This window comes from Homo sapiens, chromosome 14 (genome assembly GCF_000001405.40).
Source record: "Homo sapiens chromosome 14, GRCh38.p14 Primary Assembly".
NCBI classification, from domain to species: domain Eukaryota; kingdom Metazoa; phylum Chordata; class Mammalia; order Primates; family Hominidae; genus Homo; species Homo sapiens.
In genome coordinates, this window is record NC_000014.9 from 101,939,400 (window position 1) to 101,964,278 (window position 24,879).

Consider the following 24,879-nt stretch of genomic DNA (forward strand, 5'->3'; position numbering starts at 1 on the left):
CCGCCTCCCGGGTTCACACCATTCTCTTGCCTCAGCCTCCCGAGTAGCTGGGGCTGCAGGCACCTGCCACCACGCCCGGCTAATTTTTTTTGTATTTTTAGTAGAGATGGGGTTTCACTGTGTTAGCCAGGATGGTCTCGATCTCCTGACCTCGTGATCTGCCCGCCTCAGCCTCCCAAAGTGCTGGGATTACAGGTGTGAGCCACCGCGCCCGGCCAATTTTTTGTATTTTTAGTAGAGACAGGGTTTCACCATGTTGGCCAGGCTGATCTTGAAATCCTGACCTCAGGTGATCTGCCTGCCTCAGCAGGCAGATAGAAAAAATATTTTTTTACAAAAGTAAAATAAAAAAAGAAACGTAATCCCCAGTGCAACAGTGCTGGGAAGTGTAGCCTTTGGGAGGTGACTGAGTCATAAGGGCTCTGCTCTCATGAGTGGGATTTGATGACCTTATAAAAGGGCTTGATGGAGACAGTCTGACTCTTTTCACCCCTTTGCCACGTGAGCACACAGAGTTCATCCCTTCAGGAGTGCACAGCAGTCAAGACACCATCTTGGAAGGTGGGGCCAGGCCCTCACCAGACAACAAATCTGCTGGTGCCCTGATCTTGCACTTCCAGCCTCCAGAACTGGGAGCAATAAAGGTCTGTTCTTTTTTTTTTTTTTTTTTCTGGAGACAGAGTCCCACTCTGTCGCCCAGGCTGGAGTGCAGTGGCGCATCTCTCTGCTCACCACAACCTCCGCCTCCCAGGTTCAAGTGATTCTCCTGCCTCAGCCTCCCAAGTAGCTGGGATTACAGGCATGCGCCACCATGCCCGGCCAATTTTTGTATTTTTAGTAGAGACGAAGTTTCACCAGGTTGGCCAGGATGGTCTCGATCTCTTGACCTCGTGATCTGCCCATCTCAGCCTCCCAAAGTGCTGGGATTACAGGCGTGAGCCACCACACCTGGCCAAAGTTCTCTTCTTTATAAATGACCCTATCTGTGGTATTTTGTTATAGCAGCACAAATGGACTAAGACAGACTGTCAAGGACACTAGAGACAATGTGAGGCTGAGGGGCTGTTCCTGACAGGAGGCTGACGAGTCATGGCAAGGAAGTGCCATGCACATTCTGGATAGAGAATAGGACAGAAGGGAAAGAAGACTTTGCGGGTATCTGGTGAAATGGAATGGAGTCTGATGTTGATTCACTTTTGTTTTGTTTTGTCTTAAGGCAGAGTCTCGCTCTGTCACCAAGCTGGAGTGCAGTGGCACAATCTCGGCTCACTGTAACCTCCGCCTCCTGGGTTCAAGTGATCCTCCCACCTCAGCCTCCTGAGTAGCTGGGATTACAGGTGCATGCCACCATGCCTGGCTAATTTTTGTATTTTTAGTAGAGACAGGGTTTCACCATGTTGGCCAGGCTGGTCTCAAACTCCTGGCCTCAGGCAACCTGTCCACCTCGGCCTCCCAAAGTGCTGGGATTACAGGCGTGAGCCACCGCGCCCAGCCAGATTCACATTGTTTTTAACAGTGTTGATTTCCTGACACAAGGTCCATAAGAAGGTCAAGTAGGAGAGGGTTCCTGTTTGTGGAGGTATACTCGGGGAATCAGGGCTGCTGGGGCATCAGACCAGATAAAGACAATATATGCATATGTCTATAAGAGAGAAGGTGGGCCTGGCGAGGTGGCTCACCCCTGTAATCCCAACACTTTGGGAGGTCAAGGCAGGCGGATCACGAGGTCAAGAGATCGAGACCATCCTGGCCAACATGGTGAAACCCCGTCTCTACTAAAAATACAAAAAAAAAAAAAAATTTGCTGGGCGTGGTGGTGCACGCCTGTAGCCCCAGCTACTCCGGAGGCTGAGGCAGAAGGATCACTTGAACCTGGGAGGTGCCACTGCACTCCAGCCTGGGTGACAGAGCAAGACCCTGTCTCAAAAAAAAAGGATAATCACATAAGAGACATTTTGGTGATTAGGGAACAGAAACAGAGCCCTGCTGTAGAGGACTGGTCAGAAGAGGAGATTTTATTTTTATTTTTATTTATTTTTATTTATTATACTTTAAGTTCTAGGGTACATGTGCACAACATGCAGGTTTGTTACACGTGTATACATGTGCCATGTTGGTGTGCTGCACCCATTAACTCGTCATTTACATTAGGTATATCTCCTAATGCTATCCCTCTCCCCTCCCCCCATCCCACGACAGGCCCCGGTGTGTGATGTTCCCCACCCTGTGTCCAGTTGTTCTCATTGTCCAATTCCCACCTATAAGTGAGAATATGTGGTGTTTGGTTTTCTGTCCTTGTGACAGTTTGCTCAGAATGATGGTTTCCAGCTTCATCCATGTCCCCACAAAGGACATGAACTCATCCTTTGTTATGGCTGCATAGTATTCCATGGTGTATATGTGCCACATTTTCTTAATCCAGTCTATCATTGATGGATATTTGGGTTGGTTCCCAGTCTTTGCTATTGTGAATAGTGCCGCAATAAACATATGTGTGCAAGACTAATAAAGAAGAAAAGAGAGAAGAATCAAATAGATGCAATAAAAAATGATAAAGGGGATATCACCACCGATCCCACAGAAATACAAACTACCATCAGAGAATACTATAAACACCTCTACGCAAATAAACTAGAAAATCTAGAAGAAATGGATAAATTCCTGGACACATACACCCTCCCAAGACTAAACCAGGAAGAAGTTGAATCCCTGAATAGACCAATAACAGGCTCTGAAATTGAGGCAATAATTAATAGCCTACCAATCAAAAAAAGTCCAGGACCAGACGGATTCACAGCCAAATTCTACCAGAGGTACAAAGACGAGCTGGTACCATTCCTTCAGAAACTATTCCAATCAATAGAAAAAGAGGGAATCCTCCCTAACTCATTTTATGAGGCCAGCATCATCCTGATACCAAAGCCTGGCAGAGACACAACAAAAAAGAGAATTTTAGAAGAGGATATCTTAAAAGAAAGCAAACACTGGAACATATCTGTGTGTGATGGGGACAAGCCCATGCAGTGTTTATGAAGGGGACGGGCAACTCGAAGCCAGAGCTCAAGGGAGGGTTGGTCTTAAACAGGAGCAGAGAATCCATTTTAACAGAAGGCAAAAAAAAAAAAAAAAAGATTTAAGGAGCAAATGCAGGTAAATATATAGATTTGGGGTGGGTTGGATTAAGGAGTTGCCCTCTGATACCCTCGAGTTTCTCCGCAAAGTATGAATGTTCAAGTGAAGATTTGATCAAGAATTTAAAGTGAAACCAGTGGCATGCTTCTCTGTGGCCACACTGGGGTAGGGAGGCTGGGGGAATGGAAGACCCAGAACTGCTGCCCACCTGTGTGTGCCCCCTTCCCCAGGACTGAGGTTTTCCTCAGTGACTGGCACCATTTGCCCTGTACATGTCCTTTCAAGGGAGACTATGGGTGATGACCCAGAATTGACAAGAGGTAACTGGCATTTCTCCTTCTAAAGGGATGCTGGGGGAACTTTGTTTCCTCCTACAGCACCTCCCCGGGAAAGCATCCCTCTAAACTGTGACGAGGCATGAAACAGGTAATTACCATAATATTCAACAGAGCTGTGACAACGAAAAGTCCCAAACTCTGGGGGGACCCACATCTGTACAACTTTCTAGCTCAGGCGGGCTCTAGGGAGGAGTTTCTTTTCTTTCTTTTTAATTTTTTTTTTTTTTTTTGAGATGGAGTCTCACTCTGTCACCCAGGCTGGAGTGCAGTGGCGTGATCTCTGCTCACTGCATTCTTCTGCCTCAGCCTCCCGAGTAGCTGGGACTACAGGTGCCCACCACCACGCCCGGCTAATTTTTTGTGTTTTTAGTAGAGACGGGGTTTCACAGTGTCAGCCAGGATGGTCTCAATCTCCTGACCTCATGATTTGCCTGCCTTGGCCTTCCAAAGTGCTGGGATTACAGGCGTGAGCCAACGCGCCCAGCCAAGTTTCTTTTCTTTTTATGAGACGGGTCTCACTCTGTCACCCAGGCTGGAGTGCAGTGGCACGATCCTGGCTCCATGCAACCTCCGCCTCCCTGGTCCAAGCGATCCTCCCACCTCAGCCTCTTGTGTGGAGGGACTACAGGCACACACCACCAGGCACAGCTAATTTTTATATTTGTTGTAAAGACATGGTCTTTGCCATGTTGCCCAGGCTGGTCTCAAACTCCTCAGCTCAATCGATCCGCCCTCTTTGGCCTCCCAAAGTGCTGGGATTACAGGTGTGAGCCACTGCACCCAGCCAAGAAGAGTTTCTTGATGTCAGAGTGGAGTTGCAATTTCAGCTCCATTTGCCTCTCAGTGGTCTCATCCGTGGAAAGGAGATAATAATTCCCAAGACTAAACCAGGAAGAAGTTGAATCCCTGAATAGACCAATAACAGGCTCTGAACTTGAGGCAATAATTAATAGCCTACCAACCAAAAAAAGTATGTCTTCAGGAGGATCATGTAAAGCAGGCAGAGGAAGCTCAGCAGATGACACCTGCTGTCATTAATATCATTGTCCTATCCCCATTTCACACTGAGAAAAAGGCTCTGAGAGGGAAAGGGGTCCACTGAAATTAGCAGCCCTGGCTGGGCACCGTGGTTCATGCCTGTAATCCCAGCACTTTGGGAGGCCGAGGAGGGCAGATCACCGGAGGTCAGGAGTTCGAGACCACCCTGACCAACATGGAGAAACCCTGTCTCTACTAAAAATACAAAAAATTAGCCAGGCATGGTGGCACATGCCTGTAATCCCAGCTACTTGGGAGGCTGAGGCAGGAGAATCACTTGAACCTGGGAAGCGGAGGTTGCAGTGAGCCGAGATCACGCCATTGCACTCCAGCCTGGGCAACCAGAGCCAAAAAAAAAAAGAGGCTGAGCGCGGTGGCTCACACCTATAACCCCAGCTCTTAGGGAGGCAGAGGCGGGAGAATAGCTTGAGCCTAGGAGTTCGAGACCTGCCTGGGCAATATAGCAAGACCCCGTTCTCCACAAAAAGGAAAAAAAAAAGACAAAATAAAAAAAGAAATTAGCAGCCCTGGTGGGACAAGAGATTCCAATGGTAGTGGGGAAGATGGGAGGAAAGAGCATTTTAGTTTATTGTTGATGGCTACGCAGATTTGTACAACTCTTTGGAAGGGTAATTAGGTAATGTTTAAAATGTTTAAAATGCTAAACATTTAAAATGTCTAAAATGTCATACCTTTTGACTCTGCAATTCTGCTTCTAGGAATTTAGCCACCAGCACTTGCACAAAAGAATGACAGCTACAAGCCCAAGAATGCTCATGACAGCATCATTCTCCATAATGAAAAAGACATAGAAGCCGTGAAGAAATTACTAAATGAATAAAAGTGCATCCTGGCCAGGCATGGTGGCTCACACCTGTAATCACGGCACTTTGGGAGGCCGAGGCAGGCGGATCACTTGAGGTCAGGAGTTCAAGATCAGCTTGGCCAACATGGTGAAACCCCATCTCTACCAAAAAAAAAAAAAAATACAAAAATTAGCCGGGTGTGGTGTCATGAACCTGTAGTCCCAGCTACTCGGGAGGCTGAGGCAGGAGAACTCCCTGAACCTGGGAGGTGGAGGGTGCAGTGAGCCAAGACTGTGCCATGGCACTCCAGCCTAGGCAACAGAGGGAGACTCCATCTCAAAAAAGGAAAAAAAAAAAAAGTGCACCCTGAGAACTGCAGACCTCTCAGCACATGACAACTCCATTCTAACCTCTGCACTAAGAGATGACCAAAGAGTAGCATGCTTCTAGAAGCACAAGTTCCTAGGATGATCCCAGCACCCCCGTTACAATGCCTGCCAGAGAAGCTCAATGATGCCAGAAGAATTTACTATTTGTTTTAGCCAACACCTAATGAAAGACTCCTGGGCCCTCCCTTTGAGCATTTACTAAAAATGGCTTGCAAATACGAATCCCGCCTCTATCCCTTTGAGATGTATATCTATCTCCTTCAGCTCAGGAGTGTCTTTCTTTAGGACCTGAAAGCCGTCCTTTTGAAATGTAATCATGAGGAAGGTTAGACTCCTCCAGTCTCTGTGGGAAGACAGAATCCTAACTTCTATAATTGACAGCTGGGCTAATCACATGACATTGACCAAGCCTTTGTGATTTTTCACTGGAGTCCCTTCTTTCGCAGGTATCCCCTTTGTTTCCTCCATCCCTCCTGCCTTCTTTCTTTCCCATTATCTTTCTCCCCTGTTTTAACCACTTGTAAATTCTCACCTACCTGAAGTGTTGCTAAGTTTTCTTTTTTTTTTTTTTTTGAGACGGAGTCTTGCTCTGTCGCTTAGGCTGGAGTGCAGTGGCGCGATCTCGGCTCACTGCAGCCTCCACCTCCTGGGTTCAAGCCATTCTCCTGCCTCAGCCTCCCGAGTAGCTGGGACTACAGGTGCCCGCCACCACGCCCGGCTAATTTTTTTGTATTTTAGTAGAGACGGGGTTTCACCGTGTTGCCCAGGCTGGTCTCCAACACCTGAGCTCAGGCAATCCGCCCACCTCGGCCTCCCAAAGTGCTGGGATTACAGGAGTGAGCCACCGCGCCCGGCTGACTGTTGCTAAATTTTAATCAGAGGTGGGAGGACCGTAAAGATTGAGTCTACCTCCCAATTTACAGATGGACAAATTGAGGCCCAGAAAGGTTCCCACACATGTTCAGAATTCTACATCCAGCCTCTGTTCTGGCTGTTCTCTTTCCGCCTCTGGCTGCCCAACTCCCTCCTGCCCTTGCACCCCTAACATTAACAGCCAGAGGGATCTTACAAAAACACCCATCTGATCCATTCCGAACACTGCCTAGCAACCACCATTCCGGAAATCAAATCGCTGCCCCGGCTACCTTCTCTCCTCTTGTGACAGGTCAAATCTTACCCAGGAGCCTTCCAACGTGCTATTTCACATCTTGCCCTGACTTGGCTTTTTTTTTTTTTTTTTTTTTTCCCCCGAGACAGAGTTGCGTCTTGCTCTGTCGCCCACGCTGGAGTACAGTGGCTCCATCTCGGTTCACTGCAACCTCCGCCTCTCGGGTTCAAGCGATTCTTCTCCCTCAGCCTCCCAAGTAGCTGGGATTACAGGCACCCGACACCACGCCCGACTAATTTTTGTGTTTTTAGTAGAAATGGGGTTTCACCATGTTGGCCAGGCTGGTTTTGAACTCCAGACCTCGTGACCCACCTGCCTCGGCCGCCCAAAGTGCTGGGATTACAGGCGTGAGCCACCGCGCCCAGCCCTGACCTAGCTATTGACTGCTTATCCTGGAGTCTAGGATCTCTCTGGTGCCAGATCTGAGACGCCCGCAGCCTCTCCCCTATCTCCAACCTGTCTCCCCCGCTAGATCGTGAGCTCTGTGGGAACATTGCCCAGGCTTGTCTTGTTCACCAACGTGCTTCCAGTGCCTGGCACTGTGCTCAACCCCTCCACGCCCTCGCTCAAACTCAATCGATGTTTGATAGAAAGATGAAGAGAGATTTGTTCGGTCAGAGAGAACAGCATGATGACAGAAGGAAGGCGTACAATCAAAAGCTGTGTGCAGGGCCAGGAGCGGTGGCTCACGTACTCCCAGCACTTTGGAAGGCCTAGGCGGGAGGATCACTTGAGCTCAGGAATTCAAGACCACCCTGGGCAACATGGCGAAACCCCGTCTCTACAAAAAATACAAAAACTAGGCCGGGCGCAGTGGCTCGCGCCTGTAATCCCAGCACTTTTAGGAGGCCGAGGCAGTCAGGAGTTCGAGACCAGCCTGGCCAACATGGTGAAACCCCGTTTCTACTAAAAATACAAAAATTAGCCGGGTGTGGTGGCGAGCGCCTATAATCCCAGCTACTCGGGAGGCTGAGGCAGGAAAATCGCTTGAACCTGGGAGGCGGAGGTTGCAGTAAGCCGAGATGGCGCCACTGCACTCCAGCCTGGGCGACAGAGCAAGACTCCGTCTCAAGAAAAAAAAAAAAAGAAAAAAACCACTAGCCGGGCGTGGTGACGCAGGCCTGTAGTCCCAGCTGTTCGGGAGGCTGAGGCAGGAGGGTCGCTTGAGCCCGTGAGCCGAGATCGCGCCACTGCACTCCAGCCTGGGCGACAGAGCGAGACCCTGTCTCAAAAATTAAATAAATAAATAAATAAATAAATAAAGGTGTGTGCAGGTAACAGCAAGTAGTCTTAAAAGAGTAGACCGAGGTGTGTGCAGAGGGCAACAGTTGGGATATTTGCCTCTGTCTAATTAGCACCTTTGGACATTTGCGTCAGGCTCTGTGCTGACAAAGAGCGCACTGACGACCACAGTAGGGCCCTGCCAGTCCTGTGATGGCACCCAGCATTTAAGTGTGACAGAAGCCACCCACAACAAGCTACATACTGCATATAATTTAAGGGGGTCACGGCCCCGGAAGCCCAGCCATGGACCACGGTTTAAGTACCCCTAGTCCAGCTGGAACAATAAACATGAAATGAGTGCCTGGCTTGGAATGCAAGCCAGGCCGTGACAGAAATGAGGAAGGAGCCGATGGTTTCAGAGGCTGTCGCGAGGAGAGGGCCTTAGAGGCAGGCGGGGGACGACAGCGGACCTAAACTTCTGGGCCCAGGAGAAGTTCGTTCTTTCCTCCAGGATACCTGGAGCCGAGTGCAGGATCTCAGCGAGAAATGCCCCAATCTCAAGGGCGGCACCGAGAGGTGACGCAAGCGGCGCGCGAGGTTGCGTCAATGCAGGACCGCCCCGCCTCCGGCCTGTGCATTGTGGGACCTAAGGGCACCTGTCAGACGCCCAATCTCGCGAGTGAGCGAGATTCACGCGGAACGCAGAGGTGAGAACGGGGAAGGCCCTCCTCAGCAGGAGTCCCGCCCCCTGAAGGGCATGGGCCAATCACAATGCCTCTCCTTCCTGGCCGCTGGGATTGGTCCGAGGGTGCACATGACCGGACTGCGGGACATGTGACCGTGCCGATCTAGGTCGTGTGACCCGTCTGGTGTAGTCCTGGAACAAGGGTTTTGCTGCGGAGGGAAACGGCCAGAGACCTCGATCTAAGACCGGGGTTTGGAGACTGGCGGGCCTCGGAACAGCAGAGCTAGCGGACTTCCGGTCTGGCCCTCTGCTCACGGCCGAGGGCAAGGCGGGTTAGGTCACTTGCTGAGGAAAGAGCTCAATATGTCACGTGTTCCTCTCCCAATGACGTGGACCTCAGTTCCCTCTCCAGTGAAGTGGGCACAGTGTTGCCCGAAAAAGGGTGCTCTGGGGCTTGCCTGAGACGGGACGCGTGGAAATGCCCTGCCGAATATGAATGGGGCGATGGCCTCGCGGGACGGAGCAGCCCAGGAAAGCTGACCGTGGGCTGGGTTGTGGAGCGGAGCCCCAGGGCCTCGGCTGACTTAGCGGCCAGTCGTACATAGTGGGTATGCGGCGGGCCCGACGCCAGTCGTTGTGGACCACTGACTTGTAATCTTTACGACCTCAGTGAGGGTCAGAAGTGTCCGCGAGCCCTGTAGGCGAGGAGAGGCCTGGCTGAGGGCGCACAGCCTGGAAGGGGAGAAACTAGAGCTGGACTCTGCTTGACCCACAGACCCTCCGCCAGGTTGCCTTTGCGAGGCAAGAAGCGAAGGTTGGCGAGCCAGCTGGGAGTACCCACCCCCTCCATGCCTGGTGGAGTCACCCAAGCCCCAGCGACACCCCGGCCTGCCCAAGGTACTGGTGACCCTGGAGGCCGGGGCCCTGGCTTCTCAGTCAGGGTCTCCTCCCCATGGCGGCAGAGCTGTCTGGCGTTTTGAGCCCTTTACACCAGGGGCAAGAGGGCTGCAGGCCAGAGCCAGCAAAAGAGAAGAAGCAGAGGGAATGAGAAACCTAGAAGGTGGAACGGGAAGGAGGGAGTGAAATGGGCAAAGGCCTCCAAAAAAAACAACTTCCGCCTCCTAAGTTTAGTGCATTTAACTCTATAAATATCTATTGAACACCTACTGGATGCCAGGCACTTTTCTAGGCACTGGGCAGCTAGCATTAAACAGAAGGCAGAAACCCCTGCCTTCAACAAAATCTATGCTGTGTTGAATAAGTGATACAGGGAAAAGCTAAAGATGGGGAGAGAGGTGGGAAGGGTATAGAGGATGGGAAGAAATTTACAAAAGAGGCAGGGAGGGCTTTACTGAGAAGGTGACGATGAAGGAAGTGAAGGAAGGGCATTGCAGGCCAGGGGCTCATCGTGTGCAAGGGCCCTGGGGTGGAAGGGATCATGCAGTGGCGTGAGTGTGGGTTTGAGCAGCAGGTGATGGTCAGAGGTAATACGTGGCCACCAAAAGGACTCTGGCGGCCGGGCGCAGTGGCTCACGCCTGTAATCCCAGCACTTTGGGAGGCCGAGGCGGGCGGATCACGAGGTCAGGAGATCGAGACCATCCTGGCTAACATGGTGAAACCCCGCCTCTACTAAAAACACAAAAAATTAGCCGGGCATGGCGGGCGCCTGTGATCCCAGCTACTCTGGAGGCTGAGGCAGGAGAATGGCGTGAACCCGGGAGGCGGAGCTTGCAGTGAACCGACGTCGTGCCACTGCACTCCAGCCTGGGCGACATAGACTCCATCTCAAAAAAAAAAAAAAATTATCAGCGCATGGTGGTACGCACCTGTAATCCCAGCTACTCAGGAGGCTGAGGCAGGAGAATCATTTGAACCCAGGAGGCGGAGGTTACAGTGAGCCGAGATCGTGCCATTGCACTCCAGACTGGGGGACAAGAGCAAGACTTCGTCTCAAAAAAAAAAAAAAAAAAGGACTCAGTGGCATAAAGCCATGGCAGGATTCTAAGGACTGACATGGTCTCTGCATTGTAGCGGGTGCACTCTGCTGGTCTGTTGAGAATTAACTCTTTGAGACCAGAGTAGGGTCAGAGAGCCCTTGGAGGGTGGAGGGCTACAGAGATAACCCAGAGATGAGGGTGGCTTGGACCACAGTGGCAGCAGTGCAGAGAGGGAAAAGGAGTTTGGGTTTTGAAGGTATTCCAAAGGTAGAATTGGATGGGTGCCAGTTCCAGATCACCATCCGTAGGCTCGCTGTCCTGGAAACCTTTCTTCCTCTTCATGAAGGCACCTTCCCTTCACTTTTGCTTCAAGTTTCCATTCCACAGAGGGACAGAAACTCAATCTCAGTCCATCCAGGATCCCATCCTTCAGTTCTGGGGGTTGTGGCAGCCAAGTCATGGGTGGTGTGGGTGGGGAATCTGGTCCCCTGTCACCTTGTCCATCTCCACTGGCATCTGCAGAGGCCATCTCACTCCAGGATGGTCCACATGGGGCACAGCGTGTCCCACTCCACATCTAGCTTCCCTTCAGCTGCCTCCACACCCTGCTGCCTTGTAACTGCCAGGTGGTCTCAGGCCTCCTTCCCAAGCAGCCCCCAGCAGCTTTCTTGCTGTTCTCACTGAGCTGGACACCTCTCAGGAGCAAGAAGGAGCTATGCCCTTTGCTCCCAGAACCCCAAACCACCCTCAGTGTCTCTATCATCTTTGTCCAGTCCAGGGCAGCAGTCCCTGTTCAAGCACCTCACCTTCCTGCCTGTCCTCTGATTTCTCCCATCCCTGACCCCACCCTGGTCTGTGGAATATTCCCAGAGAAACTCTGGCTCTGATGTGTGCACTTCCCTCCACACCATCCCCGGCTCAGCTCTCAGCTCCGAGGCTGCCCCACAAGGTTATGCAGGTGTTTAGTGAGCCAGTGGGGGTGAAATTGGCACATTGCTTGTCCAGGCTTGGGCCTGCATACAAAGAGGTGGAGAGGCGCCTTTTCCTCATTTCCACAAAGGCATCTCTGAGCCACCATGGGCCTTGTGTGCTCACAAGCCTCTGGAAGGTCAAAAGCAAGGAGTTGGCTCTTGCTCTTCTGTGTCCTGTTGTAATAGTCCCCACTAAGAGCAATGGCAAGCTCCGGCCTAGCTGCCTGAATGAGGGGAGGTTTAGAGGGGAAATTACACTGGTTCATAAAGAAAATAGTAACCCCTTGCTTTGCTGGGAAGTCCCTCTGAAAGGGAAGGAATGATGGACCTTACCCCAGCACCCATGACCTGGGCCCCAAGAAGCTCACCAGTGACAATTTTGACTTTCTTTGTTAAATAGACATTACTACATAATTTTTTTTTTTTTTTTTTTTTTTTTTTTTTTGAGACGGAGTCTCGCTCTGTCACCCAGGCTGGAGTGCAGTGGTGCGATCTCGGCTCACTGCAAGCTCCGCCTCCCGGGTTCACGCCATTCTCCTGCCTCAGCCTCCCGAGTAGCTGAGATTACAGGTGCGTGCCACCACACCTGGCTAATTTTTGTATTTTTATTAGAGACGGGGTTTTGCCGTGTTGGCCAGGCTGGTCTCGAACTCCTGACCTCAGGTGATCCACCCGCCTCGGCCTTCCAAAGTGCTGGGATTACAGGCGTGAGCCACCACGCCCGGCCTATAGTCATGATTTTATTTATTTATTTATTTTGAGACACAGTCTCCCTCTGTTGCCCAGGCTGGAGTGCAGTGGTGTGACCTCAGCTCATCGCAGTGCCCCCTGGGTTCAAGCGATTCTTGTGCCTCAGCCTCCCAAGTAGCTGGGATTACAGGCATGCACCACCACACTCAGCTAATTTTTGTGTTTTTAGTAGAGATGGGGTTTCGCTATGTTGGCTAGACTGGTCTTGAACTCCTGTCATCAAGTGATCCGCCTGCCTATAATTTTTTTTAAGTGATGGGGTCCTGTTCTCTCACCCAGGCTTGAGTACAGTGGCATGAATATGGCTCACTGCATCCTTGACCTCCTGGGCTCAAGCGATCCTCCTGCCTTGGCCCAGGAGTTGCTCGCATGAGCCACCACGCCCAGTGTATTCAGATTTTCTTCGTGTTTCTTTTCTCTTCCGGGATCCCATGCAGGACACCACGTCGCATTTAGTTGTCCACCACGGTTTTTTTGTTTGTTTGTTTTTTTCCGAGACGGAGTCTCGCTCTGTCACCCAGGCTGGAGTGCAGTGGTGTGATCTCAGCTCACTGCAGCCTCCGCCTACCGGGTTCACGCCATTCTCCTGCCTCAGCCTCCCGAGTAGCTGGGACTACAGGCGCCTGCCCCCACGCCCGGCTAATTTTTTGTATTTTTAGTAGAGACGGGGTTTCACCGCGTTAGCCAGGATGGTCCCGATCTCCTGACATTGTGATCCACCCGCCTCGGCCTCCCAAAGTGCTGGGATTACGGGCATGAGCCACCGCGCCTGGCCCACCACAGTTTTAATTCTGAAGATGCAGTATTAAGAGAGGAGGCTAAAGAAGCACACACTTGCTTAATTTTTCCTTCGTTATATGCTGGGGATGGCAGCAGCAGCTTGTGGCTGAGTTTCGGTGTTCTGCCTGACGGGTGACAGCTGAGCAGGCACTAGGTCCTTGCAAAACGCAGGATGCTGGGGAGGGTCTTCACCTTGCATGGTGTCCTGTCCCACACTGCTCCTCAGGTTGGGAGTGGTGGGGAGTTACTGTTTAATGTGTACAGAATTTCTCTTTGGGATGACAAAAATGTCTGGAAATGGATGGTGGTGATGGTCGTAGAGCTTTACAGATTTACTTAATGCCACTGAATTATACACTTCAAATGATTAAAATGGTAAATTTTATTTATCTTTTGCCACAATTTTTTTTAAAACCTCAGTAAATAAAATGCAACTTAAGGCTTCTGCTTTTTGCTTTTCAGTAAAGGAAACTATTTTTTTTTTTAAGTCTGTCCCTTTTAAGCCTTTTACATTCCTCAAGTAAGGCTTACCCCCAGAATGGGGGTCAGGGATCGGTGCCGATGGGGCTAGAGCACCACCATCATTGCTACTGCTAATGACAATGGTGATAGCAACAACAGCCGTGATTGACTGCTCACTGTGCTAGCAGCTGTACCACATGGTCCCATCTGTTCTTCACACAGCCCCAGGGGCAGGTACGCTCATGGGAACATAGCACAGGGTAGTTAACGGACTCATCCAAGGTCATGCAGCTGGGAGTGGCAGCACCAGGATCCCTCCAGAACCAGAGCTCTTTCTCACCACCCACGTCAGTGCCAGCAAAGCCTCCCAAACTCCTCCAAAGCCACCTCGATAACAGGAGAGAGGTGTCCTTCACCAAGCCCGAGAGGGAGACTGCCAGGTGCCTGTGGAATAAGCCCTCTGGTCCAGATGAGGACTAGCAAGAGGAAGGGCTGTTTGCCTTCTTTAAAAAGATTACAATAATGACCGGTGTTTATTAAACACATACTATGTTCTACAATAGCGTTCTCCAGGCTGACGTCACCTATAGATCTCTAGCCCCACAGATGCTCCACTGAAAAATAGTTTCATAGCTGGGCACAGTTGTGTGCACCTGCAGTCCCAGTTACTTGGGAGGCTGAGGTGGGAGGATCACCTGAGCCTGAGAAGTCAAGGCTGCAGTGAGCTGTGATCACACCACTGCACTCCAGCCTGGGTGGCAAGAGTGAGACCCTGCCTCGTAAATAAATAAATAAATAAATAAATAAATAAGAAAAATAGTCTCACAGCCAAGTAAGTTTGGGAAGGGCCTCCTAGAGGATTTGAAAGGAGCTGCAGTGATGACACCCCTTCAGCTTTGTCTAACTCAGTGATTCCCAAATCTCTTTGGCCCCAGCAGCCCATTTTCATTGCAAGATCCATCAACAGGCCTCAGGTCTCCAAGTTGGTATTCACAGGCTGTCTGAGCAGTGCTCCTTTTTTTTTTTTTAATTTCTTTTTGAGATAGGGTCTCACTCTGTCACCCAAGCTGCAGTGCAGTGGCACAATCTCAGCTCACTGCAACCCCCACCTCCCAGGCTCAAGCAATCCTCCCACCTCAGTCCCCCATCACCACCCAGTAGTTGGGACCACAGGTATGTGCTACCACGGCCAGCGAATTTTTACGTACTTTTTGTAGAGACAGGATTTTGCCAAGTTGTCCAGGCTGGTCTTGAACTCCTGGACTCAAGCCATCTACCGGCCTCGGCCTCCCAAAGTGCTGGGATTACAGGCGTGAGCCACCGCACCCAGCCTGAGCAGTGCTTCTAAACATGGTCTCGCCATGTCTTCCCCTCATGCTCGAGGAATGGAAGTCAAGTGTAGAGAGGTCAGTGGCTGATCCACAGCCCCCTACTCACTCTACTTAGAAAATAAATGCTAAAGAGTTTTAATATACACAAAAAGTAGTTACAGGCTGGGCACAGTGGCTCACGTGTGTAATCCTAGCATTTGGGGAGGCTGAGGCAGGAGGATCGCTTGAGTCCAGGAGTTCAAGACCAGCGGGGGCAACTTGGCAAAATCCTGTCTCTACAAAAAATACGTAAAAATTAGCTGGCCGTGGTGGCACATACCTGTGGTCCCAGCTACTGGGTGGTGATGGGGGACTGAGGTAGGAGATCAAGGCTGCAGTGAGCTATGATAATGCCACTGCACTCCAGCCTGGATGACAGAAAGAGACCTTGTCTCAAATACGAGAGAGAGAGAGAGAGAGAGAAATAACAGTTACAATAAGGCTGTCTGGCAGCACTAGTGGATTCTGCAGTGATAAGGGAAAGAGTAACACTATTTTCTGATAAATCCTTTTATGTTCCATCACCTTTAAGGGTGAAATAGGGTTTTGTTTTGTCAATAAAAATGTCGACATGTCCCCCCACTGCCACGGTGAGAAGGGACCACGTCCTGAGGCCCAGCAAAGTCCCAGTCTTGCAGACATGGGCAAGCCTCTGGGAACTTTGGGTTGCCTGTGAAATGTGCATGTCCTTTGGAGTAAAGTGGGGAGTTCTTTCTTCAAAGTGAGGCTGGGTGTGGTGGCTCACGCCTGTAATCCCAGCACTTTGGGAGGCCAAAGTGGGCAGATTACCTGAGGTCAGGAGTTCGAGACCAGCTTGGGCAACACAGTGAAACCCCGTCTCTACTAAAAATACAAAAATTAGCTGGGCGTGGTGGCAGGTGCCTGTAATTCCAGCTACTCAGGAGGCTGAGGCAGGAGAATTGCTTGAAGCCGAGGGGGTTGTAGTGAGCCAAGATTGCGCCACTGCACTCCAGTCTAAGCAACAAGACCAAGACTTGGCCGGACCTGACGGTTGTTCTAGGTTGTTCTAGGCGAGTGACCTAGGTCATTCTAGGGTGTCCAGTCTTTTGGCCTCCCTGGGCCACGTGGGAAGAATAAGAATCGTCTTGGGGCACATAAAATACACTAAAGACAGCTAATGAGCGGGGAAACACAAAATCACAAAAAATAAAATTAAATAAAAGCTTTAAGAAAGTTTACAATTTGTGTTGGGCCGCATGCGAGCCGCGAGTTAGACAAGCTTGCTCTAGGTGGTTCCAGGCCTTCCTGCGTGCCCAGCTGGCGAGGCGGATGGAGGAGATTCTGCTGCTGCCTCTCCAGCAGTCCTGGGAGGAAAGGTCTCATGGAATTAAAGGAAACAGCTACGTTAATATCTGCCAGCGCCCGCTCGGAGCCGGGCCCAGCCCCACGTGCCAGGACAGCGGGCAGCTGCGGGCGCTGTGCGCTGGTGGGGACCTGAAAGCGTCCGGATGCGCTGGCCCCGCTGCTGCTGCGCGGGCGTCCCGGGCGGGCCCTTGGCAACCGGCTTTCTGCACTGGACGCTGCCGCCCAGAGAGCTGCTCATCGACGTTTGGGAGAGAGGGAGGGAATGTTTTAGGATTCCCAGCCCTTCGGCACGGGGAAAATGGAAGGAGAGGACCCGGCCCATGCCCCTTGGTGGCTCAAAGGCTCTAGACACGGTCGGCCTCCGGGTTTGAACCCCTCCTCCGCCTCCTGTTATCTCTGAGACTTCAGCAAGCTACTGCCCTTTCCAAACCTGTTCCTGACCTTCGCATTGCAGAGTTAATCCATCTGGTGGATCTGGGGATGCTGGAGGAAGCCGTTAGAAGCCCCCGGCGCGTGGTGAGGACGCAGCCGGAGACGCAGGCCTCTCCCTCCAGCAGTGGGGCGTGCCCACAAGTCCCCCCTCTCCAGTGTATGCAACAGCCTAGTGTCTGACCAGGCTCCCATTCCACGACTCCGCAATTCCACGGCCAGCACATCCCAGGATTCAGTTTCAGGGTTCTACCCCTTCCTGAGTCAGCTAAAGCGCAGCAGGGACATGCTCTGTCCGGGGAGAACGTGCTGGCCCAGGTCATCTGTCATCTGTCACACCAGTATCGACGCAAGAAAAGCATCAAGACTTTTTTTTGTCTTTCTTTTTTTGAGACAGCGTCTCACTCTGTCGCCTGGGCTGGTGTGGTGTGATCAGGGTTCACTGCAGCCTCGACCTCCCGGTGCCCAAGCGATCCTCCCAGCTCAGCCTCCCAAGTGGCTGGGACCACAGGCCCATACCACCATGCCCAGCTTATTTTTCGTAGAGATGGGGTTTCACTTTGTTGCTCCGGCTGGTCTCCAGCTCCTGGTCTCAAGGGACCTTCCCTCCTCAGCCTCCCTAAGTGCTAGGATTACAGGCATGAGCCACCGTGCCTGGTCCCTGCCCAAGCATTTAAGCAAATTTAATTTTATTCAGAAGCCTTACTGAAGCCTGGAGGCTGAAGAATACAGGCCAGAAGTCTTTGAGAGAGGTACTGTCAGAGTGCTCCAGAACAGCATTTCAGATCGCTTATATCCAGGTAGTGGAGGTTTAGTGCATGCAAAATCACATCAAAGTCTGGGTACAAGAGTACATCTGGTTGTAGGCCAGGCATGGTGGCTCATGCCTGTAATCCCAGCACTTTGAGAGGTTGAGGTGGGCAGATCACAAGGTCAGGAGTTTGAGACCAGCCTGGCCAACATGGTGAAACCCTGTCTCTACTAAACATACAAAAAGTAGGCTGGGCGCTGTGGCTCACGCCTGTAATCCCAGCACTTTGGGAGGCCGAGGTAGGCAGATCATAAGGTCAGGAGTTTGAGACCAGCCTGGCCAACATGGTAAAACCCCGTCTCCACTAAAAATATAAAAGTTAGCCGGGAGTGGTGGCGGGTGCCTGTAATCCCAGCTACTTGGGAGGCTGAGGCAGGAGAATCACTTGAAACCCAGAAGGTGGAGGCAGCAGTGAGCTGAGATCGCACCACTGCACTCTAGCCTGGGCAAAAGAGCGAAACTCCGTCTAAAAAAAAAATACAAAAATTAGCTGGGTGTGGTGGCTCATGCCTATAGTCCTAGCTACTCGGGAGGCTGAGGCAGGAGGATCGCTTGAACCCGGAGGTGAAAGTTGCAGTGAGCTGAGATTGTGCCACTGCACTCCAGCCTGAGTGACAGAGTGAGACTCCATCTCAAAAAAAAAAAAAAAAGAGAGAGAGTACATCTGGTTATAGATTGTAGATTTATAACCACATCAGGTTATAATCAGCACTAACCCCGTCATATGTTATCTTATGTACAGGAAAAGGCAAGGCTACGGCCATTTATCTTTTAAGGAACATATTGACTCCAGCAAGACACGTGGGCTGTGTGCTCTGTCCTGTTTTGTCTTCAGAGCATCTTTCCAGAGAGCTACACGTGGTCACAGAGGCAGGGCTTTGTGAAATTACATTGACAAGCAGAACTGAGCACACATGGCTTCTTACGCTTGCTACTTTGCCTCACACCGGTTACCCTGGCCCTCTGGTCCCACACTTCTCCTGGCCTCAATGGGTAGGAGGGCCTCTTTGGCCAGCCTGCCTGGGGTCTTGTCACCTGGGTGCCAGCTCCCACTTCCCCAGCATTGCTCTCTAGGGGCCGGTGGGCAGCAGGACCCCCTCACCTGCCTCTCCTCACCCCAGCCTGGAGAGTCTTCTTGTGGCTCTGTCACCTCCTGCTTCCCCAGCATGCTTTGCCTACATGGGAGATTCTAACTTTCCCCTTTCTCCCCCATATGCCCTTTTACTCTCAAGGGCTAGGACTTTTGGGAAAAAAAAAAAAAAAAAAAAAAAAAAAAGCCTGAAAGACCAATAGGCACCTTCTGCTTTCAGTCCTAGAACCACAGACCAAGCTAGGCTCCTGCACGAATGGGGAGGCAGAATGTGAAATGGAGGGAGAAAATCAGTCAATATAGGCAGTTCCAGCTTTGCATGGGTCCAATCTATATGGACAAGATTTCCTTACCACGGTTTAGTTCAATAACACCAGTTTCCCAGCCACACGGTTCAAGTACCAGTTACCATCGTAAATTACCTGTGAGTAATTGAATAAAGTACAAGCTTTGCTGCCAGCTCTTCAGTCCACAAATCACTGCATCATAAATGACAGAAGCACGTCATGATCCATGGTCAATTACATCACTGGCCCACAGAGGTGAATGTGTGATAAAGAAATAAAATGTGATAGCCCTGGAGAGGACATTCCAATCAAATATAAGTGAGGTCATAGAGGAAACAGTTGCAGGAGAGAACATGGATGCTGCCACCAACGAGGGGCTCCAGCAGTGCAGCTAGAGGGGTTGAGTGAGGGCAGCCTGTCCACAGAAATAAGGAAACAGTTGAGATGAGAAGGATGATGATATCCTAGGGGGTGTGATACCAGCAAAAAAATCTCACATGAAAGGAACTCTGGGAGATATTTTGAAACTCTGGAAGTGCAAAGGATAAAATGTTGGAAGCTACTCCAACTAGAAAGCAGCGTGGCAACTCACCAGGGCCTGGAAGAAGATGCTCAGCCCAGGCCGGGCGTGGTGGCTCTTGCCTGTAATCCCAGCACTTTAGGAGGCCAAGGCAGGCAGATCACTTGAGGTCAGGAGTTCGAGACCAGCTTGGCCAACACGGCAAAACCCCGTCTCTACTAAAAATACAAAAAAAAAAAAAAATTAGCCAGGCATGGTGGCATGCATCTGTAATCCCAGCTACTCAGGGGGCTGAGGCAGGAGAATCGCTTGAACCTGGGAGGCGGAGGTTGCAGTGAGCCGAGATTGTGCCACTGCACTCCAGCCTGGGTGACAGAGTGAGGCCCTGTCTCAAAAAAAAAAAAAAAAAAATTCTCAGCGTTTCTAATGTTTTAAGTTAGAATGTACTAAATGAATATTTATTTTAGTATTTTTTTAAAAAATAGAGACAGGGTCTCTGTCACCCAGACTGGAGTGCAGTGGTGCAATCATAACTCACTGCAACCTCAAACTCCTAGTCTGAAGCAATCCTCCTGCCTCAGCCTCCCAAAGTGCTGGGGCTACTGGCATGAGCCACCATGCTCAGCCAATAAAGATAAGAACACTTGAACACTGTCAACCAACATGGCCTAATTGACATTTCTTAGAACATTCCACCCAACAACAGCAGAACACCGCCTTCTAAGGTTGGGATTCAAGGCATGGCTGTATTGAAAATCCAAGGAAGGCTTGGGTGGGGATAGTGGCTCATGCCTGTAATCCCAGAACTCTGGGAGGCTGAGGCAGGAGGCTCCTTGAGCCCAGGAATTTGAGACCAGACTGAGAAACTTGGCAAAACCTCATCTCTACAAAAAATAACAAGCAAACAAAAATTACCTAGGTGTGGTGGCATGTGCCTGTAGTCCCAGCTACTCAGGAGGCTGAGGTGGGAGGATTATTTGAGGCTGGGAGGGAGGTCGAGGCTGCAGTGAGCCACGATTGTGCCACTGCACTCCAGCTAGGTTGACAGAGTGAGATCCTGTCTCAAAAAAAAAAAAAGAAAAGGGCCGGGTGCGGTGGCTCACACCTGTTATCCCAGCACTTTGGGAGACTGAGGCGGGCGGATCACCTGAGGTCGGGAGCTCGAGACCAGCCTGACCAACATGGAGAAACCCCGTTTCTACTAAAAATACAAAATTAGCCACGTGTGGTGGCACATGCCTATAATTCCAGCTACTTGGGAGGCTGAGGCAGGAGAATCGCTTGAACTCGGGAGGCAGAGGTTGCGATGAGCGGAGATCGAGCCATTGCACTCCAGCCTGGGCAACAAGAGCGAAACTCCATCTCAAAAAAAAAAAAAAGAAAGAAAAGAAAGAAAGAAAAAAGAAAATCCAAGGCTAGAGGGCGCTGGAGAGGGCGTGCTGATAGAACACAAACCAGCCTGAGGGCCAAGCCTTGGGCCCCTCCAACCTTCAGAGGTCGCGAAGAGCAGGATCCAGCAGAGGAGACTGAGAAGGAACCTTGGTGACGAGGAGGATCTGGAGAGTGCGGCCACCAAAAGCCAGGTGAAGGTGGTGTTCAGAGAAGGAGGGAGTGCCGGCTGCATCAGTGTGTCCACGGGTCAAGCAAGATGAGGACTGAGAACTAGTCACTGGATTTGGCCACGCGGAAGTCACTGGTGACCTTGCCAAGAGTGCCTGCCCATGAATGTGGGGATGGGGTGGGAAAGGCAGTGCCCACATATGCTTATTCTCAAGGAGTTTTGCTGGAAAGGGCAGCAAAGCAGTGGAGAGGTGCTGGCAGTGGGCTACGGTAGGGCTTCCTTCTTTTCCTTTAAAGAAGGGATAGAATAGCTCAGACATCGGTGGAAAAAATCTAGGAGAGAGAGAGAACATCTGGGAGCGAGGGGAGAATTTCAGAGGTGATAACCCTGAGAGGAGATGGAGGCAGCACACCCAGGGAGTAGTGGTCCTGGCTGGGGACACCGACAGCCTTTGGTAAGAGAAGGGGCCACACACTACCAGAGGGAAGGGCCAGGGCGGTGTCAGAGGTTTTGAGGGTCTGCAGGCAGCCTGGGTTAATCCAGGGGTCAGGAGAGCCAGGTGGGAATTGTCTGCCCAGGTAGAGACAAGATTCACTAACATCTTCCCCATGGGCAGTGGGGTGCATGCTGGCATTTTCATTGTCATTACTTGTTCTGTGACCCTGGACAAGCAAGCCAGGTGACCTTGGGCAGGTGAGCCTGCTGTCACCAGGATGGATGGGCAGCAGGCTGGGGAGGTGGGTCCCCTACAAGCAGAAGAAAATTCCATGCGACACATCCTTTGCTGCCACTAGACGGCGCCAAGAGACCGTTCCGTTCTCACCACGCGCTTCAAACTCCAACCTGCTGGGGTCGAAGCCTCCAGGAACCAGATCTGGTTCAAGCCTCACCCTGAGGCTCATTTGACAAGGAATCAAGACAGAAAGGGGGTGGATCCTGGAATGAGCTTCCTCAGAAAGCGTCCTGCAGCCCTGCGAACCTGTGAAGTCCCAGCCTTGCCCTCCAGCAGCACCCTGACAGCCCCAGAGATGTGGCCAGGAAGGTCTTGATCCACAGTGCACCCCGTGTCCCCACGGCCACCGCCAGCGCCCCTTCCTCGGGGTAAGGCATTAGTTTCACACCCACCAACCAAGTGCACGCTTTGGTCCAGGCCCCGCTGGTGCTGAGAATCCCGAGAAGCTTAGACCTCCCTGCTCTCACAAGTGGGGATGAATGAATGAACGAATGAGCCCAAGATGGAAATTCTTTTTCTTTAAATTTATTATTATTATTATTATTATTATTATTATTATTATTTAGAGACGGGGTCTCACTCTCTTGCACAGGCTGGAGTGCAGTAGTGAGATCACAGCTCACTGCAGCCTCGACCTCCACCTCAACCTTTTGAGTAGCTGGGAACAAGGGTGTGCACCACCACACCTGGCCAAATGTGGAATTTCCAGGGAGTGGAGGGGAGATCCTGGGCACAGAGCCTGAAAGGGCTGGGGCAGCAGGGGTTCCTCTGAGGGGGTTGGTCCTGCCCGAAGGTTGTGAGAGGGAGAGGAAGGATGGTATGAAACTGGGCACCCGACTTGAGACTTGGACTTAAGGAGACATTGTTAAGAGAAGGGTGGGAATGAATGGGATCTCATCATGGATTTCCAATAGGATACAAGCGCCCTACCAGCCACTATCATCCCACATCAACCTAGAACGAATTCTCTCTCCAGCTTGCCCTGCCCCCTGCCCTGCCCAGAGTCTGTCCAAGCAGACTCTACCACAGACAGGAGAAAGCTGAGGCAGCAGAACAAGAGACGGGAGAGGCCAGGTTTGGGTGAGGGGCCCTACCCCCACCAGGGTCAGCTTGGGGTGTGCTGGAGCCAGAGTCCTGTGCCAGGAGGCAGAAGGGGCACCTTGAAAGAAGCTCCCCACACCCTTCAACCCTGGCACAGCCCAGCCAGCCACCCAGGTAATGCACTTAAAGTGCTCAGCACCCAGTCAGCGTTGACCACTCTTCTCGTTATATATTAAATACAACAAACATCTTTCAAGAACAAAAAGCAAGCATGTTTGGTCCATTCATGAATCCTTGTACACTGATTGTTCGGGTTCTTTCAGTTCCCATCCACTTAGAAATAACAAACATGTTTCATTTTGAGCCTATCCTACAGGGCCGCAAATCCGGAGCCTGCAGTTTGTTCTCTTGGCCTGGGGCCAGGTTGCAGATGTTTGAGTCCCTTGGATCCCTGAGTGGCTGCGTCTCCCAGTCTGGTGCTGACTCATGGTGCAGCCAGCATGCAGCCTGCCCATCGGCCAGGTCCCTGCAGGTTTCTGAGTCTCAGATGGTGGATGGCCTATTCAGAGTTCACAGATCTGCACCTAATAGACTTTCCTCTTTGTCCCTCTTTCTACCCCTAAAGTACATGTGAGGGGAAACCCTCTGCATGGTGCCTAGCACGCAGTGAACACTCAGCGTTCGCTGTCAGTGGTGTGTTATTATTATTCATTACCATTAGGATCCTTGCACAAACTCATCGCAGTTGCCTATTTATTTTTTCCAGGAAGATTACTCGGAACTGCTTAGGCACATCACACCAGGGCGGACTGATGGAGAGCAGGAAGATGGGGTATTCATCTGTCCCCTCTTCCACATGCTCCTTAAAGACAAGAATCATCTGATTAGTCTCCGTGTTCCAGCAACCCCCTGGGACCCAGCAACCGGTAATTAGGCAAGGAATAAGCTTATTGTATGTTTCACAGTTTTTCAAAGATGATTTGGGAGAATCAAATCATACCATCATCATTCCACCAATCAGGACTCGGCACTCTGACAGTGCACTTTGATGTTTAAAAAAAACAAAAAAACCAAAAAAAAAAAAAACGCCATTGGCTTCCCTCTCTCCACCCAACTTAAGAAAGAAGTTATGAATGTGAACTTTCAAAGGCCAATTACTACCCCTTAGAAGAACCTACCATCTCTAAACTACAAAGATGGGCAGCCTGGATTCTATTATTTTTATTATTTTACAAAATTCTTAATTTTTAAATACACATAGATATAGGGTCTCGCTAGGTTGACCAGGCTGGTCTTGGAACTTCTGGCCTCAAGCAATCCTCCCATCTCAGCCTCTCAAAATGCTAGGATTACAGGTGTGAGCCACCGCACCCAGCTGGGCAGCCTGGATTCTGGCTCTTATGTAGTCATGGTGTAGGGGAGGAGGTCGTGGTGGGTCCGAACTAGGGGGAAACTTGGTGGGCAGGCAACCCAGCCCCTGCCTTGTACGGACCCAGATACTGAGGCCCACAGAATGACAGTGCCAGCTCTAGGGGGCTGGAGGAGAGCCATTGCTGGAGGTAGCTGTTCTCAGTAGGTCTCCCTCTTGGTCCTCACAGCGTCCTCGGGGACAATGATTTTTGTCATTAGGAACCAGATCCCATCACAGCTTGGCTTTACGTACAGTGAAGGTGTCATTCCTGGCTTAACCTTACACTGCCCCGAAGGCCCCCTCCCCAGCTGTCCGTTTCCAGCCTGGCAATGGGACTCTCTGAGCACGCCCCTCATCTCCTCCCCCTCTGAAAAGTATCCTCAATCTCCCGGTCTATATCTAATAACACATCTGTCGTGCCTATATTTTGGTACCTGATACGTAGTCATTCATTCATTCAATGAGAGAACATTTAATGAGAGGTTAAGGGGCTTAGAACAACGCCGGGCACAGGCTAAGCGCTCACTAAACGTTAGCTCTCGCCAATAACATCACTGATTCACTATAAAGTTTCTCTGGCTGTGTGCTATTCGCTGCGTCCACAGCAGTGAAGAAGACA

At 51.0% G+C, this 24,879-nt stretch overlaps 8 annotated features.

Moving 5' to 3' along the window:
- Window positions 5,557–6,218: an enhancer, noted in NCBI's record as "OCT4-NANOG-H3K4me1 hESC enhancer chr14:102411293-102411954 (GRCh37/hg19 assembly coordinates)". NCBI's record gives its function as "activates a minimal SCP1, AML or CMV promoter by ChIP-STARR-seq in naive and primed H9 embryonic stem cells {active_cell/tissue: H9 hESC(naive and primed)}" and the evidence as "EXISTENCE:reporter gene assay evidence [ECO:0000049][PMID:30033119]".
- Window positions 6,219–6,878: an enhancer, noted in NCBI's record as "OCT4-NANOG-H3K4me1 hESC enhancer chr14:102411955-102412614 (GRCh37/hg19 assembly coordinates)". NCBI's record gives its function as "activates a minimal SCP1, AML or CMV promoter by ChIP-STARR-seq in naive H9 embryonic stem cells {active_cell/tissue: H9 hESC(naive)}" and the evidence as "EXISTENCE:reporter gene assay evidence [ECO:0000049][PMID:30033119]".
- Window positions 8,201–8,862: an enhancer, noted in NCBI's record as "H3K27ac-H3K4me1 hESC enhancer chr14:102413937-102414598 (GRCh37/hg19 assembly coordinates)". NCBI's record gives its function as "activates a minimal SCP1, AML or CMV promoter by ChIP-STARR-seq in primed H9 embryonic stem cells {active_cell/tissue: H9 hESC(primed)}" and the evidence as "EXISTENCE:reporter gene assay evidence [ECO:0000049][PMID:30033119]".
- Window positions 8,567–8,686: an enhancer, noted in NCBI's record as "active region_9058". NCBI's record gives its function as "activates an Ori minimal core promoter by ATAC-STARR-seq in GM12878 lymphoblastoid cells {active_cell/tissue: GM12878}" and the evidence as "EXISTENCE:reporter gene assay evidence [ECO:0000049][PMID:35858748]".
- Window positions 8,987–9,176: an enhancer, noted in NCBI's record as "active region_9059". NCBI's record gives its function as "activates an Ori minimal core promoter by ATAC-STARR-seq in GM12878 lymphoblastoid cells {active_cell/tissue: GM12878}" and the evidence as "EXISTENCE:reporter gene assay evidence [ECO:0000049][PMID:35858748]".
- Window positions 21,886–22,062: a silencer, noted in NCBI's record as "fragment chr14:102427622-102427798 (GRCh37/hg19 assembly coordinates)". NCBI's record gives its function as "represses an EF-1alpha promoter that drives an FKBP-Casp9 reporter gene in an ReSE screen in HepG2 liver carcinoma cells {active_cell/tissue: HepG2}" and the evidence as "EXISTENCE:reporter gene assay evidence [ECO:0000049][PMID:32094911]".
- Window positions 21,985–22,044: an enhancer, noted in NCBI's record as "active region_9060". NCBI's record gives its function as "activates an Ori minimal core promoter by ATAC-STARR-seq in GM12878 lymphoblastoid cells {active_cell/tissue: GM12878}" and the evidence as "EXISTENCE:reporter gene assay evidence [ECO:0000049][PMID:35858748]".
- Window positions 24,727–24,866: an enhancer, noted in NCBI's record as "active region_9061". NCBI's record gives its function as "activates an Ori minimal core promoter by ATAC-STARR-seq in GM12878 lymphoblastoid cells {active_cell/tissue: GM12878}" and the evidence as "EXISTENCE:reporter gene assay evidence [ECO:0000049][PMID:35858748]".